This window comes from Homo sapiens, chromosome 2, assembly GCF_000001405.40.
Source record: "Homo sapiens chromosome 2, GRCh38.p14 Primary Assembly".
NCBI lineage: Eukaryota > Metazoa > Chordata > Mammalia > Primates > Hominidae > Homo > Homo sapiens.
Window position 1 is genome coordinate 128,172,277 of NC_000002.12, and position 15,947 is coordinate 128,188,223.

Consider the following 15,947-nt stretch of genomic DNA (forward strand, 5'->3'; position numbering starts at 1 on the left):
GCTGCTGAGTATGAGCTAGAGTACCTGTTACTAGAAGGTCATTGCTACGACATCACCACAGGCCACCACTGAGCACTCCTCCTCAGTGCTGTCCTTGTTTGCCTTTTCTTGCATCTGCAGCAACCACAAGGAGGCATCATAAGGTCAAAGATGGTTTTGGAAACACTTTTCCCAATCTGGAAGGGTACTCCTCCAAATCTAATTTGTTTTAACCAGTTGTTACCTGTGTAAGGGCTGTGCACTCAAGTCCTGTTGTCACATCGAAAATTATCTAACACTTTCCTTTTCAATTTCAGCTTTTACCGTTATGTCTTAGAACCAGAGATTTCTTTCACTTCAGACAATAGTTTTGCTAAGGGTCCAATCGCAAAATTTTTGGATATGCCTCAGTCTCCACTGTTCACTCTGAATTTGAACACACCTGAGAGCTGGATGGTAGAATCTGTCAGAACACCATATGATCTTGATAATATTTATTTAGAAGAGGTAAGACCATATCTATTGCTTCCAAATACCTAATCATGTATAATACAGCAGATTGAATCATAGTCTAGGTGGGCCTCTGAGACATCAGTGTTCAGGTATGATATTTTTTTAAACAACAGCTTTATTCACATGGAACTCATATACCATAAAATTCTCCCCATTAACGTGTACAGTTGAGAGGTTTTAGTATCTTCACGGAGTTGTGCAGCCATCACCACTATGTAATTGTAGGATGTTTTCAGCATCCCCAGTGAAAGCCCCATACTCATTAGCAGTCACTCTTCATTTCCCCAGCCCCTGGCAACTGCTGGTCTACTTTGTATCTCTATGGATTTGCCTATTCTGACATTTTGTCTAAATAGAATCAAATGTGGTCTTCTGTAACTGGCTTCTTTCACATAACAAATTGTTTTCAAGATCCATCCATGCTGTAGTATGTATCGACGCTTCACTCTTTTTAACTTGCCAGATAATATTTTATTTATGGACATATCACGTTTCATTTATCCTTTCACGAATGGACATTTGAGTTGTTTTCACTTTTTGGTTGTTATGAATAATGCTGCTATGAATGTTGTGTGCAAGTTTTTCTACTGATACGTGAGTACAGGATGTCTTTGCATTTAGGTCTTTAATTTTTTTCAACATTTAGTATCTTATCCTCGTTCGTATTTTTAGAATAACGTCCTTATTGTTTTTTTCTCCTTTCTCTTTCCAACCTAGTTTTTATAATTGTATACAGTCATTAACCACCACTATAGCCACGATGCAGAACATTTCCATTACCCCAAAAAGTTCTTTTATACCCCTTTGCAGACAGTAGCCTCCTCTCGCCTGGTTTCAGGCAACAACTGATCTGCTTTCTGTCATTATACTTTTGTCTTTTCTTGAATTTCTTAAAATATGATCATATATTATGTAAGTCCTTTTTGTCTGCTTCCTTTACTTTGCATAATGCATTTCAGATTTATTCATGTTGTCTCTGAGTGCATTCAAGTGATTGGATTTTGGCTTGCAGGTGGACAGTGTAGTGGCTGCTGAGTATGAGCTGGAATACCTGTTACTGGAAGGTCATTGCTACGACATCACCACAGGCCAGCCTCCACGGGGACTACAGTTTACCTTAGGAACTTCAGCCAACCCGGTCATTGTGGACACCATTGTTATGGCCAATCTGGTAAATAATCTGTTCATCAGATAGTGATATTGTAGTTACGTTAATTTGGGCACTATAATTTATGATGGAGCAATTAGCATTCTTAACCATAGAGTGAGATTAAAATTCATTATGGGCTGAATTTGGTCAATATAGAAATCATTAGTTCAGCTAAATTTGTAGGTTAGAATTACATGTCAAAAGAAAAAACATGCTGGAATACTCAGCTATAACTGAATTGGCCCCCTGAAAATAGATTGCTCATGAGCTGACAGCCTTTTTCTTTTCTTTGGAAGTGCAACACTTATTCATGCATCACACGTTGATTCTTCCCTGAAGCACAGCTAAAGAGCAGATGATTTATTGGTGTGACTGGCCTTTATTGTACTAGTTTTTTTTTTTTTTTTTTTGAGACTCCTGCCCAGGCTGGAGTGCAGTGGTGTGATCTCAGCTCACTGCAACCTCCGCCTCCCAGGTTCAAGCAATTCTCCTGCCCCAGCCTCCTGAGTAGCTGGGATTACGGGCACCCACCACCATGCCCGGCTAATTTTTGTCCTTTTTTAGTAGAGATGGGGTTTCACCATGTTAGCCAGGCTGGTCTCGAACTCCTCACCTCAGTTGATCCACCTGCCGTGGTCTCCCGAAGTGCTGGGATTACAGGCGTGAGCCACCGCACCTGGTCTGTGCTAGAGTTTTTAATGTGTAGTTTTGGTTTTTTAAGAGTTGCATTGATTTGTTTACTGTGTTATTCACATTATAGTTGATTGATATTTCAGAAATAGAAGTAACTGTTCCTCAGAAATAACATTTTGGTGTTTTGAAGAGAGCTAACTGGACTTTTCTTCTTGTCCTAGGGCTACTTTCAGCTGAAAGCCAACCCAGGAGCTTGGATCCTCAGACTTAGGAAGGGACGCTCTGAAGATATTTATAGAATTTACAGGTAGGAGTAAGTGATGCAGTTACATTATCCCAGAACTTTTAGAAATGAGCATTAGCTCTAATTGAATACTACCCTGGCAGTTAGCCAGGCAACATGAATTTAATTTGCAGTTGTATGTGATGAAACAGTGGTTTTTCCAGGAAATTAAATATGGAAGAATTGTTAGAATAGAATTAGATAATAAGAGGTATAGATGCTAATGAGTATAGTCAGGCTTTATTCTTTAATTATTCCTTTGTGCTAACAATATCCCAGAATCAAATCATTCTATCAGTGTGATGCGGCTCATAGATAGGCAGATGAGAAACTTGAAGAAAGGAGAAAAGAAAGAAAGAACAGCCACACTTTTCTGCCCAGAGAGTGTATGTGTTGACCCTGAGTGATTTGCAAATGCACAGTACATGGAAGCTTTGGTCTTGAAGCTGTGCTGTTAGTGCTGGTATTCCTTGGTCTGTGGTGGCATAGTAAGAACATTCCCTCTATAGCCAGCTTTTACCTTAAGGTTTACTGCACATATTTATTAGTTTAAAAATAATTATGTTGCCTTTAAAAAAGTTTGATATAAATTCTGCTTAACACAATTTAAATTAGTTTTAAACTGTGTGAAGAGGCTTCCCGTCAGGTTGTGTAGGGGATGATTTCCATTAGGGCACATTTGAAGCACTCTGTAGTATGTCCTTGCCTTAATTAGCTCCGTAGCGACACACATGAAACAGTGGATTAGTGCCTGGTTCTTACCCAGGAAATAGAAGAATTCTGTATTATAATAACACCATTGTAAACAGTAGAAGGTTTTTTCCCACATAACATTTTCCTCAGATAAGGTTTTACAAAATTTGGGATGCACTTCCGAACTCCTTCCCTTTTGGATGCCCTGGCCCTTGCCAGCCCTCCCCTTCCCAGGAGCATGGTGCCCCCTCTTCCTAGCTGTTCAGGGCCCCACCCCCATTAGAATCTTCCTTTGCCTGAGAACCCTACTCTCTGCTAGATGACAGCAAATGCAGTGAATTCATGTTGTAATTATGACTTTCTGCACCTTGAAATTTGGTGACTGGAAATTTTAGGCATTGCTGTTGATTAGTAGGGAAACATACATTTAATTTTTCTTCCTCTGCTCCTGTCTGCCTGCAAATAGAATTTGTTACAGTTTTTCTGGTAGCGTATAGACACCAGGTTGAGTACAGGGCCTATTGTTGACTGATTGTTGCCTCCGGCAGAAAGAGCGAGCAGATTTCCTTTACAACACTATTCCAGTTAAAGAGTAGTGGCCGGGAGTGATGGGTGATGGCTCACGCCTGTAATCCCAACACTTTGGGAGGCCGAGGAGGGTGGATCACTTAAGGTCAGGAGTTTGAGACCAGCCTAGCCACTATGGTGAAACCCTGTCTCTACTAAAATACAAAAATTAGCCAGGCGTGGTGGTGGGTGCCTGTAAACTCAGCTACCTGAAGGCTGAAGCAGGAGAATCACTTGAACCCCGGAGGTGGAGGTTGCATTGAGCCGAGATTGCTCTACTGCACTCCAGGGCAACAGAGCAAAACTCTGTCTCAAAAAAAAAAAAAAAAAAAAAAAAGAGCGGAGGCAGTGTGGTTCCAATAATGGTTCAGGGGGCCTGTTCCCTGCATTCCTTTATCGAAGGCTCTGTGCTTGGCTCAGAGCTTGTGAACACAGGCGGTTGTTTAGTACTCACCATGTGGTTACCACACATGGGTGCCTCTCACTACGTGATGGGTAATTTGCAAGAGGACTCACAAAGGAGGTTTGGGCATGCACCTTATATAAAGAGAGGTTTCAACACGTGCTTCTGTGCAGCTCGAAGGAGCTTAAGGAGCAAGAAGATAGCTGGATCTGGAAAACTCCTTTATGAGAAGGATGATGGACTCAGATGCTCTGAGAGCATTTGCTGCCTTTTGAGAATTGTGCCTTGTAATATTGATCTTTCTTTTCTCGCAAAGCCACGATGGCACTGATTCTCCCCCTGATGCTGATGAGGTGGTTATCGTCCTCAACAACTTCAAAAGCAAAATTATTAAAGTGAAGGTGAGTTTGGTAAAAGTAGTGGCATTCTGTTATTGGACAGCTGTCATTTAAAAATATGTATCTTGGAACCAGCCCAAGAGTCTCTTTGGAATTTGCTATGGCAATTATAGGGATACTGCTTTAAGGCAAAATGTCTTTGTAACTGTGAGTTTGTGGCTTCCCTCAACTGAAAGATTGTACCTTTTGGGTAATCTCGGTGTGCAGAACATGTCCCATCTTATATAAAATATTCTCATAGATGCTATGTTGTTTATATAGCCACAATTCATAGTGTTGTTGATGATTCTTTTCTCAATATTGGGGGAACTGGCAATGGAAATTTTCAACAATAATAAAATGATAGTCCTATTTAATTTCTTTTGACTTGTACTTTCCGTTCTCTGAATGTTGAAGCTCTTAGTGCCTTAAATTCAAGTACAGTATATTCTTGAAGAAAGAATCATTACACACAGTGAAACCTAAAATAGGCCATCCATTGTTGAGAAGAAAAATGGTCACTGTACTGCCAAGAAGAAACCCCTGTTTGTGCTAGTGAATCCTGAAAACTGGTCATAACATGAAATACCTCCCTCCCAACAGCTAGAGCCCCCAGCAGCCACACTCTTCCCTGGAACTAGCTGTTGACTCATTGAATCGTGCTTCTGGTTTCACTGCACAGTTGAGTTTGCGGCTCTTTGCCTATGTTGCAAGCTGAAAATGGGGTTCATCTAATTAAAAGAGGTTGCTGTCTCCTCACATAAGGTTATGATGTGAATGTCCTGGCGAAGATACTTCTATTGAATCCTTCTAGACTCTGGGTGGGGTTGTGCCTGTTTGTGAGAGAATTGATTGATAATTCCCTATTGATGACAGGCTCACAGTGTATATCCAGTGAGAGGCAGTTTTATGCCTGTGAGACATACTGGGAGTAAGGTTTATCACATTTGATTGCAGGTTCAGAAGAAGGCAGATATGGTGAACGAAGACTTGCTGAGTGATGGAACGAGTGAGAATGAATCTGGATTTTGGGATTCCTTCAAATGGTAAGTTGACATTGTAAGAGTTATGTTTTTAAGGAAAAACTGAGATATAAGCACCATCCATCCCTCCTTTTTGCATCTTGTGATTCTGTCTGGGCCTTTCACATTCTACTTTGTGCAGCTACATCTCACACTTATATTTGGCATAGATGAGTATTTTCCACTCGATTGATCCAAAAGAGGTTCATGTCTCCTAGTGGGGAAGTTACTTCTGCTCCATACTTTGTGACTCTCATTGCCTGTACCTGCTCTTTGGAAATTTGACTGCTCCCTGCTCAGTTTACTTCCCGTTGTGTAAGTTGCATTCTGGTGCAGCCTGTGTTCAGTCTCTTCCTAAAACAACACTGTCGGAGAGTGAACATTCTTTTTGTAGGTTGGTTTTGTCAGTCTTGTGGTCTCTCCAGGGTGTGAGGGAAGCTTCATAACCACTCCTGCTGCAGCTCACCCGCTAGGGAAGGATGGGAAGCGCAGTCTCTTTCCTCTTACTTTCAAAGGCCGTGTGTCTGTATGAGTGTTTCAAGTGGTCTTTTTTTTACCCTTATTGTTATAGGGGCTTTACAGGACAGAAGACTGAGGAAGTGAAGCAAGATAAAGATGACATAATTAATATTTTCTCCGTTGCATCTGGTCATCTCTACGAAAGATTTCTTCGGTCAGTCTTGTTGATTATTTCATTATATATGATGAATGAATTGGTCAGTGTTCTTATTTAGAGAGGAAAGGTTTTGTGGGATTCTGCTCATTATACTCCTGTGTCTTTGAAGCACTCTGAGCATTGTGACTGGCTTGCCATTTATCATTGGATTTGTTTTGATCCCGCCGTCTCTGTGAAGTTGAACTATGTAGTGAGTGCTTCTGGATATTACAAGGCTGCAGCCCTTTAACGTCACTGTACACATTCATAGACTGTACTGTTTACTGCCTGCCAAACATTGCTTAACCCAGAGATTAGGAGGTTGACATAGAGAATAGAATCAGAACAGAACCATGGAATACTTCACTGCCTTGTAAAGATTCACAGGATTTTAGAGCCAGGAGAGAGCTTAGTTCTTACATGTGAACACTTCTGTTTTATAAACAGGCTGAGGCCCCGAGTGTGAAGGGACTTGTCTAAGGTCACACAGCTACAGCCAGAAGAGGCCACGGGCTAGGGCTGCCTGATGTAGTGGTCACCAGAGGCACTGTCAGGAAGGCCTGAGAGTCACTTTTCTCATTGCCAGGGCTCTGTTCACTCTTAATTTTTCACTACAGATCTAGTATAGAAAATCAAAATGTCATTTGTCTCATTTTTAGCCCTCTTATTTCCAAGAAATAATATCCTACCTAAAATAGTGACAATAATAACAACCGAATTTGGTTAAATTCCTCCATTCAAAAATGTGGTTTTGTTTTCTGAGTAAGGAGGCCGGAGCTGGTAGCCTTCCTCTCTAAAGCAGGGCCTCTGTGTAGGCTGCAGGAGGCGCTGTGGTTACACATTCTTCCCTTAGCACCAGATGCTGATGTCATGTGACAGGAGTTTTGGGGAGTGATGTCAGTTACCCCGATTTCCAGGGTTCATCTGGACCATAACTAATATATCAGTTCATGAAGCAGTTTATTTAGAGGTGTAACAGAATTAAAACATTTGCCTCTGTCAGTTAAGTGTAGTTTTATAGGTGAGGAATGCCCCTTCTCTTTAGTGATAACTTCATAAGTTGGAGTAAGTACAATTTTTCATTTTCCATCACTGAGCGTCTCCCTCGGCCTAATTGAGCCATTAGTTAGCTCTGCCGTAAAGAGCATTTAGGTGTCTCGTGATTGACTCTACATAATGTTGAGGTTAAATAACATTGGAAAGCTGTTATTAATTACCTGCTTTTGTTTGGCAGCATAATGATGCTATCCGTGCTGAAGAATACCAAGACTCCTGTGAAATTCTGGTTCTTGAAGAATTACTTGTCCCCCACATTTAAGGTTTGTTTCACAGAGAAAGGGAAAACATTCTTATTAAGGAGATATTTACTGTATATTTTTCATGACTTTTGTTTTATCTGTATACTTTAGCAAATTTTCCATTTACTAAGATACCCTAATTTGGTTGCATATTTTTATTTTGATTATTCTTCCAGATTGGTCTATTTGAAGGAAACAGTTAAATTGTGTTTAAAAACTTGGATGATATGGTAGGAGAGTCTTTTGTTGTTGTTATTATTAGCAGTGTCTTACTGAGATAACGTTTCCTTCCTCTGAAGCCTGCATGCTTGCTTTAATTTAGAAAGCACAGCGATGGTTTACATTGAAGAGAATGATTGGTGTTAGCATGAACCACTCCTAGATGATGTATGGAAGTAGTGCTTCCTCTGTGCAAAACAAAACACGTACTTGGAATGTTTTCTGCATTACTTATATCAGTCAGTATTTGTCATCTAAGTTGATTTATTTGCATCCTTTTTTTTTCTTGTAGAATTTACTAAGTGACTTTTAATATATTCAATAACCATTCTCCTTGATAAGCACTTTACTGCTGGCGCCTAAAGGTGCTTATACTTAGAATCTGAAAGACTTATTCAAAAAGGACAACACATTTGTCCAGAGTTCTGGCTTTGCAGTGTTATTCCCTGGGTTAGATCTGGCCTCGAGGAAGGCTTGTCATCAAGCTCAGTAAATGCCTTACTGAAATCAAGTTTAGACAAATGGACTTAAAGTTCATGTGCTGTAAAAACACACACAGAGGGATATACATCTAAAATCCTTCTCTTGAACATTCTGTCATTTCATGTGGTGACCAGAAGTCATAAAGAAATGGGGATTTGACAAAGGTTTATATCTGTTCTTCTATGTAGTCATGAGTGGGTCACGGCCGGTCTTTGTAAGACCACTGTTTTGGTAAATGTGTTTTATTTGTCCCGTATCATGGTGGTTGGCTTACATTATGAAAGCAGTTTTCTTAATCAGAAGAAATGATTATTTGTTGTTCCCATGTCTAAAAATAGGAGTTTATACCTTACATGGCAAATGAATACAATTTCCAGTATGAGCTTGTTCAGTACAAATGGCCCCGGTGGCTTCATCAACAAACTGAAAAACAGCGTATCATCTGGGGTTACAAGATCCTCTTCCTGGATGTACTTTTCCCACTAGTTGTTGACAAGTTCCTGTTTGTGGATGCTGATCAGGTAGGCCCTTAAAGGCCAAGTTTTGACAGTTTGTATTAAAAGCAACAAATTGCTTCTTTTTAAATGCTATTTTTTCCACTTATGGAAAAGGACATGCTTATTTTACATTTAGAAAATATGAAAATATGTATCACATAGATGTCATCACTTTTTAAATTTGCATTTAGCTTATCTCCTTTACATCTTTTTCTCTGTCTTTTTAACATCATTGTGATGACATAATGTGTGCAGTTTTGTATCTGACTTAATTCATTTAACATGAAAACTAAAAATTAGAAAATTAACATTTAGCAGTGCTTGCCATCATCTCTAATTATCTGCCCAAAAGATAGGAGTTATTGTCATGGGTAATAGACGAAGCTTAAGTGGATACATGGCTTTGGCAGTAGGGAACCTCCGGATATTCTTCCGGCCGTCAGGGTTTGACTTAGTGAAAGGGAACATGTGATTTTAGAGCATACAAACTCAAACAGCATAAGTGTACGTCTGCCCACAGCCTTCCACTTCAGCCCGAGCGGGCGGAAACCCAAGTCAGCCACCTGAGTGGAAGGATGTAATGTGTGTGAAAGTCACTGGGACAGAGACTTCACTCACCTCTTTGGAATTCTCTTCCACTGGCTTAGCCTGAAGTGTGCCTTCCTGATTGTAACATAGCCACATTTAATCCTTGTTGAGTACTTACGATGGGCAAGGCATTATTCTACATCTGTCCATCCATATGTTAACTTACATAATCCTCCCAGCAACCCTGTGAGATAGGTACTGTCATTATCATTATCTCCATTTTACAGATGAAGAAACTGAGGCACAGAAAGGCTAAGCAGTTGAAATTTGTTTTATTCCTACTCCCACACACCTTGCTAAGAAGTGTCTTACATGTTAGTGAGTCAACCAGGTAATAAGTGGAGCAATCAAAGTGCATCTGCCCCTAGTGCCTGTGCCACTAACCACGGAGCAGCCTTCCATGCTGCCTTAAGCGAGCCACTCTGTATCTGAAGGAAACCGCATTAGAGCTGTCTGCATGGTTGCTTAACAAATGACTTTTTATATTCTCCAGATTGTACGAACAGATCTGAAAGAGTTAAGAGATTTCAATTTGGATGGTGCTCCTTATGGTTACACTCCTTTCTGTGACAGCCGAAGAGAAATGGACGGCTACAGGTTCTGGAAGTCAGGGTACTGGGCCAGTCATTTAGCCGGGCGAAAGTATCATATCAGGTACTGAAAAGAAGCACTCCTAACACTGTTACGGGGTTTTCCTTAAAATTGATTTTGTGTGGTTAAAATTGTGAATAGGTAATACATTGGTATGGTTGAAAAATAAAAATGATAAAAAATACACAGTGGCTGGGTGCAGTGGCTCATGCCTTAATCCCAGCACTTTGGGATGCCAAGGCAGGTGGATCACCTGAGGTCAGGATTTCAAGACCAGCCTGGCCAACATGGCGAAACCCCGTCTCTACTAAAAATACAAAAATTAGCTGGGCATGGTGGTGGGCGCCTGTAATCCCAGCTACTCGGGAGGCTAAGGCAGGAGAATTGCTTGAACCCAGGAGGCGGAGGTTGCAGTGAGCTGAGATCACGCCGCTGCACTCCAGCCTGGATGACAGAGTGAGATTCCATCTCAAAAAAAAAAAAAAATACAGTGTAAAAAAAACTTCCTAATCCTGTCTCTCTCTTTCCTACTCAGTTCCTGTTCTCACAGCAGATAACCTCCCAACTTATTGACTGTCTATCCTTCCAGATTTTCTTAATTCTTACAGAAACAGCTGTGAATGTGTATTCTTTTTTTTTTTACACAAAATATGCTACCTATTTATACATTTTGTAACTTGGCTTTTTTTTTTTTTTTTTTACTTAATGTCATATACATCTTCTCAGTGAATAGAGAGAGACCTGATTCCTTTTCATAGCTGCATATTATTCCAGTGTGTGAGTGTTATTTATAGTTTTCCCTGTGACCTACAATGTTGCAATGAATAATCTACTAAATAATTTTTCATATCTCATATATTTGTGAGATAAATTCCTAGACGTAGACCTTTTAGGTCGAACAGTGTGTGTGTTGTTACATTTCTAATGAGCACCCCATTCTCTTCTCTGCGAGAAGTGTGATTTGAAGATGTGCAGGGAAGAGGAACGTGTAGGAAGCGGCACATGCAGAGATCACTGCTGGGGTTTAGTGATGGTGGCTTCATTCTTTACATTCCTGGTCCAAAAGAACTGTAAGGACTGTAACACTCTGGGGTTTTCCCCCCCCTGTAACATTGAAGACATCATCAGGATATCATTGAATAATGGTTGTTTATCAGTTACTATGGCTTTTGTTACTGCCGCATATGCTAGAAATCTTTGGTCTGAGATTATTTCTTTCGGATGGCAAATACAGAACAGTAACAAAAGCATAGCACAGTATAGATTTTGCAGTGACTTTCTTAGAGATCTTTAAAGTAGCACACTTTAACTCCACTGTAGGGCTGTAGCATACCTTTTCAAAGAAAAGCCAGAATATTTGGCTAGTGGCCTGTTCCATTATTCATTGGGTTTAGTTTTCCTGTCGTAATCCATGGTTGGTTGTAACAAGCGGGTCTTCTTTATTCAGTGCACTATATGTTGTGGATCTGAAGAAGTTTAGGAAAATAGCTGCTGGTGACAGACTCAGGGGACAGTACCAAGGTCTGAGTCAGGACCCTAACAGCCTTTCAAATCTTGATCAAGTAAGTGTCCATTTTTTATGGTTAACTGTGAGTGACGGGTATACAGTGTTGCATCAGAAAATGAAGTATTACTTGTGTCTTCAGTCCTCTCCTCACAGGATGGCGTCTTGTTTTTTCATGGTGTGTGTGTGTGTGTGTGTGTGTGTGTGAGAGAGAGAGAGAGAGAGAGAGATTTTTATCTGCCCTCAAGACATATCAGCGTGAAAAATGTCATAGATTTGATGCTGGCTGGGGAGAGAGATGGAAGGAGAATGCTGCCTCTCTGAACCATTAGCATATCTTTGTATTTTGTACTCAAACTAATCTCATAGGTTTGTTTCTCTACCTACTAGGGTCAGTTTGTTTTTCTGCTGTAGGAACTAAATAGCTCAGGATTCGTAGTATAGAATCACAGTATAGTATCACAGCTTCCCCTTTTTCTATGTCAGAAACCATGATGTGTTTCAAGGCTAGCTAAATTACTGTTTGTTAATGTTAAGCATTTTTCAGAGGTGAGATTGTAGTTTAAGGGTTTTGGATACATATTTCACATATTTTAAGCATTTTATTTTGCTTAAGTCTACTTAAATGTTTTTAAACCTTTATTGTGATATGTAGCATCCATAAAGAAAAGTATACAAAAAACATACATACATATTCACATACATCCAGGAATTATTATGAAGCAAATACCCAGATACCACAACCTAGTTCAAGAACTAGAACATTATCAGCATCCCAGAAGCCATCCTTCCTCCCTAACAAAAGTGTCTAGCATCACGACTTTTATGGTAATCATTTTTGTTTCTTTATAGATTTACTGTTTAAGCATGTATCCATAAACACTAGTTTAATTTGCTCATTTTCTTCTCCTCTATCTCAATGGAATAATAAAAGGTAAACTTTTTTGTTTGTTTGTTTGTTTTGAGACAGAATCTCACTCTGTTTCCCAGGCTGGAGTGCAGTGGCATGCTCTGGGTTGCACTCACTGCAACCTCCACCTCCCGGGTTCAAGTGATCCTCCTGCCTCAGCCTCCTGAGTAACTAGGATTACAGGCACGCACCACCACTCCTGGCTAATTTTTGTATTTTCAGTAGAGACAGGGTTTCACCATGTTGGCCAGGCTGGTCTCAAACTCCTGACCTCAAGTGATCCACCCGCTTTGGCCTCCCAAAGTGCCGGGATTACAATCACGAGCCACAGTGCCCGGCTCTACTTACTTTAAAATTTGTGTGATACCTGGTATCTTCTAATTTATGGAGCTACTATGGATCTGATTCTGTTGTATTATTTCTGTTATTCTTTTGTTCATACTGTCTATCACATATTTGTTTATCTTCTGTAGTGTGTCAGGCGTTGTTTTTGCAGAATTATTTTGGGGAATAATTTGAGTTCAAAAATGGTATCACCCAACAGTATTTGTTTCTCTCTTTTTTTTTTTTTTTTGGAGATGGAGCTTTGTTCTTGTAGCCCAGGCTGGAGTGCAGTGGCGTAATCTCAGCTCACTGCAACCTCAGCCTCCCGAGCAGGTGGGATTACAGAGGCGTGCCACCACACCCAGCTAATTTTTCTGTATTTTTAGTTGAGACAGGGTTTCACCATGTTGGCCAGGCTGGTCTTGAACTCCTGACCTCAGGTGATCCACCCACCTTGGCCTCCCAAAGTGCTGGGATTGCAGGTGTGAGCCACCGTGCCCGGCCTTTTTTTTTTTTTTTTTTTTTTTAGACAAGGTCTCACTCTGTCACCCAGGCTGGAGTGCAGTGATGCGATCATGGCTCACTGCAGCCTCGAACTCCCAGGCTCAGGCGATCCTCCCACCTCAGCCTCCTGAGCAGCTGGGACGACAGGCTCACACCACCAGGCCCAGCTAATTTTTTGTATTTTTTATAGAGATGGGGTTTTGCCATGTTGCCCTGGCCAGTCTTGGAACTCCCGGGCTCAAGCGATCTACCCACTTCAGCAGCTATTTTTAAATTTTAGTCTGTTGGCAGGGTTTTGTAGAGAAGTATCATCTATTTATTTTTGTACCATCATGGAACATTCTTTACAAGTATCGCAGTCAATCATTTCTGTACATTTCCTTGTTCCATGTAAGTCTTAGGACAATGGAACATTTTATTGTGGCAAAGTCAGAAGGACTCCACAGGAAAAAGGTTTAAAGCATAGGGTAGCATTGGCTAGAAAAAATGTCGTCTATTTGGGAGCAAGTCTCAATAGACAAGGTAGATTCAGAACTTCCTTGACAGAAGCCTGCAAAATTTACGAACCACCACTCTATTTAGTTGACTTTCAGAAGTCAGTAGGAGTATTTTTCTCAGGATTGCCCTAATGAAGGGAGGGTTAGGTGCAGGCTGTTTGTAAGTTTTAAGCCAAAGCTTTTCAGTTGCTTATTATGGGCAGATGTTTTATGGATCCTCTAAAATTTGTAGTTTTGAATAACTTCTCTAAGGCATTGGTAAGGACCTTTTCCATTTTAAACATTTGTGATTGGCATGTGATCTGTAACGAGCAGCTGTACATCACTGATGTTCTATACGTTTGTCTCCACACGAACTGGCTGGGTGCAGTGGCTCATGCCTATAATCTCAGCACTTTGTGAGGCTAAGGTGGGTGGATCGCCTAAGCTCAGCAGTTTGAGACCAACCTGGGGCAACATGGCAAAACGCATCTCTAGTAAAAATACAAAAATTGGCCAGGCATGGTGGCGGGCCCCTGTAGTCCCAGCTACTCAGGAGGCTGAGGCAGGAGAATCTCTTGAACCTGGGAGGTGGAGGCTGCAGTGAGCCGAGATCGTACTACTGCACTCCAACCTGGGTGACAGAGTGGGACCCCATCTCTCAATAAATAAATAAATAAATATCGCCAGAACTTTAGATACATGTATTTTATTTTTATTTTTTTTTAACCAAACAGGATCTGCCCAATAACATGATTCATCAGGTGCCAATTAAATCCCTCCCTCAAGAATGGCTTTGGTGTGAAACGTGGTGTGATGACGCCTCTAAGAAAAGGGCAAAAACCATTGATTTGGTAAGCCGTATGTGGTGTGCTTCTGCATGTTCATCCACTGGATGTGTGAGTGAATCACGATTAATGATTTTTATTTAGATTCTTAAATTTAAGAATTTCCTAGATTCTTATTTAGACTTTCTCTGTAATTGTGTAGTTTGTCGGGGCTATTCTTATCTTACAGAATATTCTTATAAATATTCTTATCTTATAGAATTAGTATCGTTTGTTGTATAGTAAGCATAAGTATATAGTTTGTTGGGGCTATTCTTATAGAATATTCTTATAAATATTCTTATCTTATAGAATATTTCACTGGTTTTATTTCCCTGCTTACATTAGGAAACCAAATCCCTTAGCACTTAATGGGACTGTTTTCACAACTTACAATCTGCTGAGTCACTCCTTGGCTTCCAGTTTATCTCTGTGCCTTGTAATTTTTCCAAATGGACTTTCACTTTTCCTGCCTTCCATTAGCCACTCACACATTCTTTGTAGATGTAAATACAGCTTTACATAGCCCACTACCATATTGCTTCTGGTAGTATATCATTTGGTTCCTTACTATTGTTTTCTTGTCCAGTTAGGACTTGTAACCCAAGAACCTTTGAATTCTCTATCATGTGGCCTTTCTTCAACTCAGCTGAAGTGTGTTCTTTTGGTTTCACAGTGTAATAATCCGATGACCAAAGAGCCGAAACTGGAAGCAGCTGTGCGGATTGTCCCGGAGTGGCAGGACTACGACCAAGAGATCAAACAGCTACAGATCCGCTTTCAGAAGGAGAAAGAAACGGGAGCACTGTACAAAGAGAAGACAAAAGAACCAAGCCGAGAAGGTAAGCACAAACCGTTGGTTTTAGGACAGTACTTCTTTCCATTTCTGATTTCTGCTTGTTGTAAAGACAATAGAATAATGGATAAAAGGAAGAGAAAAATCTCCTATTAATCCTTCCATTCTAACATCAACCAGTATATATTTTTCATTTTCCTTTTATGTTGGTCTTCTAAACAGTATTTATTAGTGCAATTGCTATGTTTTTTTTTTTTTCTCGTTTTTCTGGTGAGGGGGAGAAAGGGTATTTTAATTGTGATTATAGTTATTTAGGTTCATGAGTTTTGTGATACATAAACCAAACCTTTTGCAGAGTTCTTCTTAGATTCCTTGTTTTTTTTTTCATTAAATCTGTCAGTGTACTAGTGAATGAAAAAATTTAGATCAACACAAATATGTAGTTGAAGAAACTTTTTTTTTTTTTTTTTGAGACAGAGTCTCACTCTGTTGCCCAGGCTGGAGTGCAGTGGCATGATCTTGGCTCACTGCAGCCTCCACCTCCCAGGTTCATGTGTTTCTCATGCCTCAGCCTCCCAAGTAGCTGGAATTACAGGCATGCACCACCACACCCAGCTATTTTTAAATTTTATTTATTTTTTATTTTTTGTAGTTT

The 15,947-nt window shown here is 40.3% G+C and overlaps 1 protein-coding gene across 12 annotated transcripts in view, besides 2 other annotated features; it reads left to right on the forward strand.

The window, feature by feature from the left end:
• Window positions 1–15,947, forward strand: part of UGGT1 (UDP-glucose glycoprotein glucosyltransferase 1) — a 104,478-nt gene that overhangs the window by 81,077 nt on the left and 7,454 nt on the right. For 10 of the 12 annotated variants that reach the window (NR_027671.3, NM_020120.4, XM_006712635.5 and 7 more), the window contains 12 exons: window positions 297–486; window positions 1,505–1,663; window positions 2,497–2,582; window positions 4,538–4,622; window positions 5,556–5,644; window positions 6,192–6,293; window positions 7,510–7,594; window positions 8,614–8,796; window positions 9,854–10,014; window positions 11,399–11,513; window positions 14,407–14,523; window positions 15,173–15,338. Coding sequence is in view for 11 of the 12 variants with exons in the window: in NM_020120.4 (NP_064505.1) it covers window positions 297–486; window positions 1,505–1,663; window positions 2,497–2,582; window positions 4,538–4,622; window positions 5,556–5,644; window positions 6,192–6,293; window positions 7,510–7,594; window positions 8,614–8,796; window positions 9,854–10,014; window positions 11,399–11,513; window positions 14,407–14,523; window positions 15,173–15,338 (1,538 nt within the window). In the remaining variant the exon portion in view is untranslated. Of the gene's footprint in view, window positions 1–296; window positions 487–1,504; window positions 1,664–2,496; window positions 2,583–4,537; window positions 4,623–5,555; window positions 5,645–6,191; window positions 6,294–7,509; window positions 7,595–8,613; window positions 8,797–9,853; window positions 10,015–11,398; window positions 11,514–14,406; window positions 14,524–15,172; window positions 15,339–15,947 lie in introns of those variants that run through there. The other 2 variants (XM_047445123.1, XM_047445124.1) reach the window with 1 other exon arrangement.
• Window positions 6,959–7,253: an enhancer, noted in NCBI's record as "tiled region #10373; HepG2 Activating DNase matched - State 5:Enh, and K562 Activating non-DNase unmatched - State 12:CtcfO". NCBI's record gives its function as "activates a minimal TATA promoter and a strong SV40 promoter by Sharpr-MPRA in HepG2 and K562 cells {active_cell/tissue: HepG2 | K562}" and the evidence as "EXISTENCE:reporter gene assay evidence [ECO:0000049][PMID:27701403]".
• Window positions 14,312–15,511: an enhancer, noted in NCBI's record as "MED14-independent group 3 enhancer chr2:128944162-128945361 (GRCh37/hg19 assembly coordinates)". NCBI's record gives its function as "activates an origin of replication core promoter dependent on BRD2, BRD4, P300/CBP and CDK7 cofactors, and independent of MED14, by STARR-seq in HCT116 cells {active_cell/tissue: HCT116}" and the evidence as "EXISTENCE:reporter gene assay evidence [ECO:0000049][PMID:35650434]".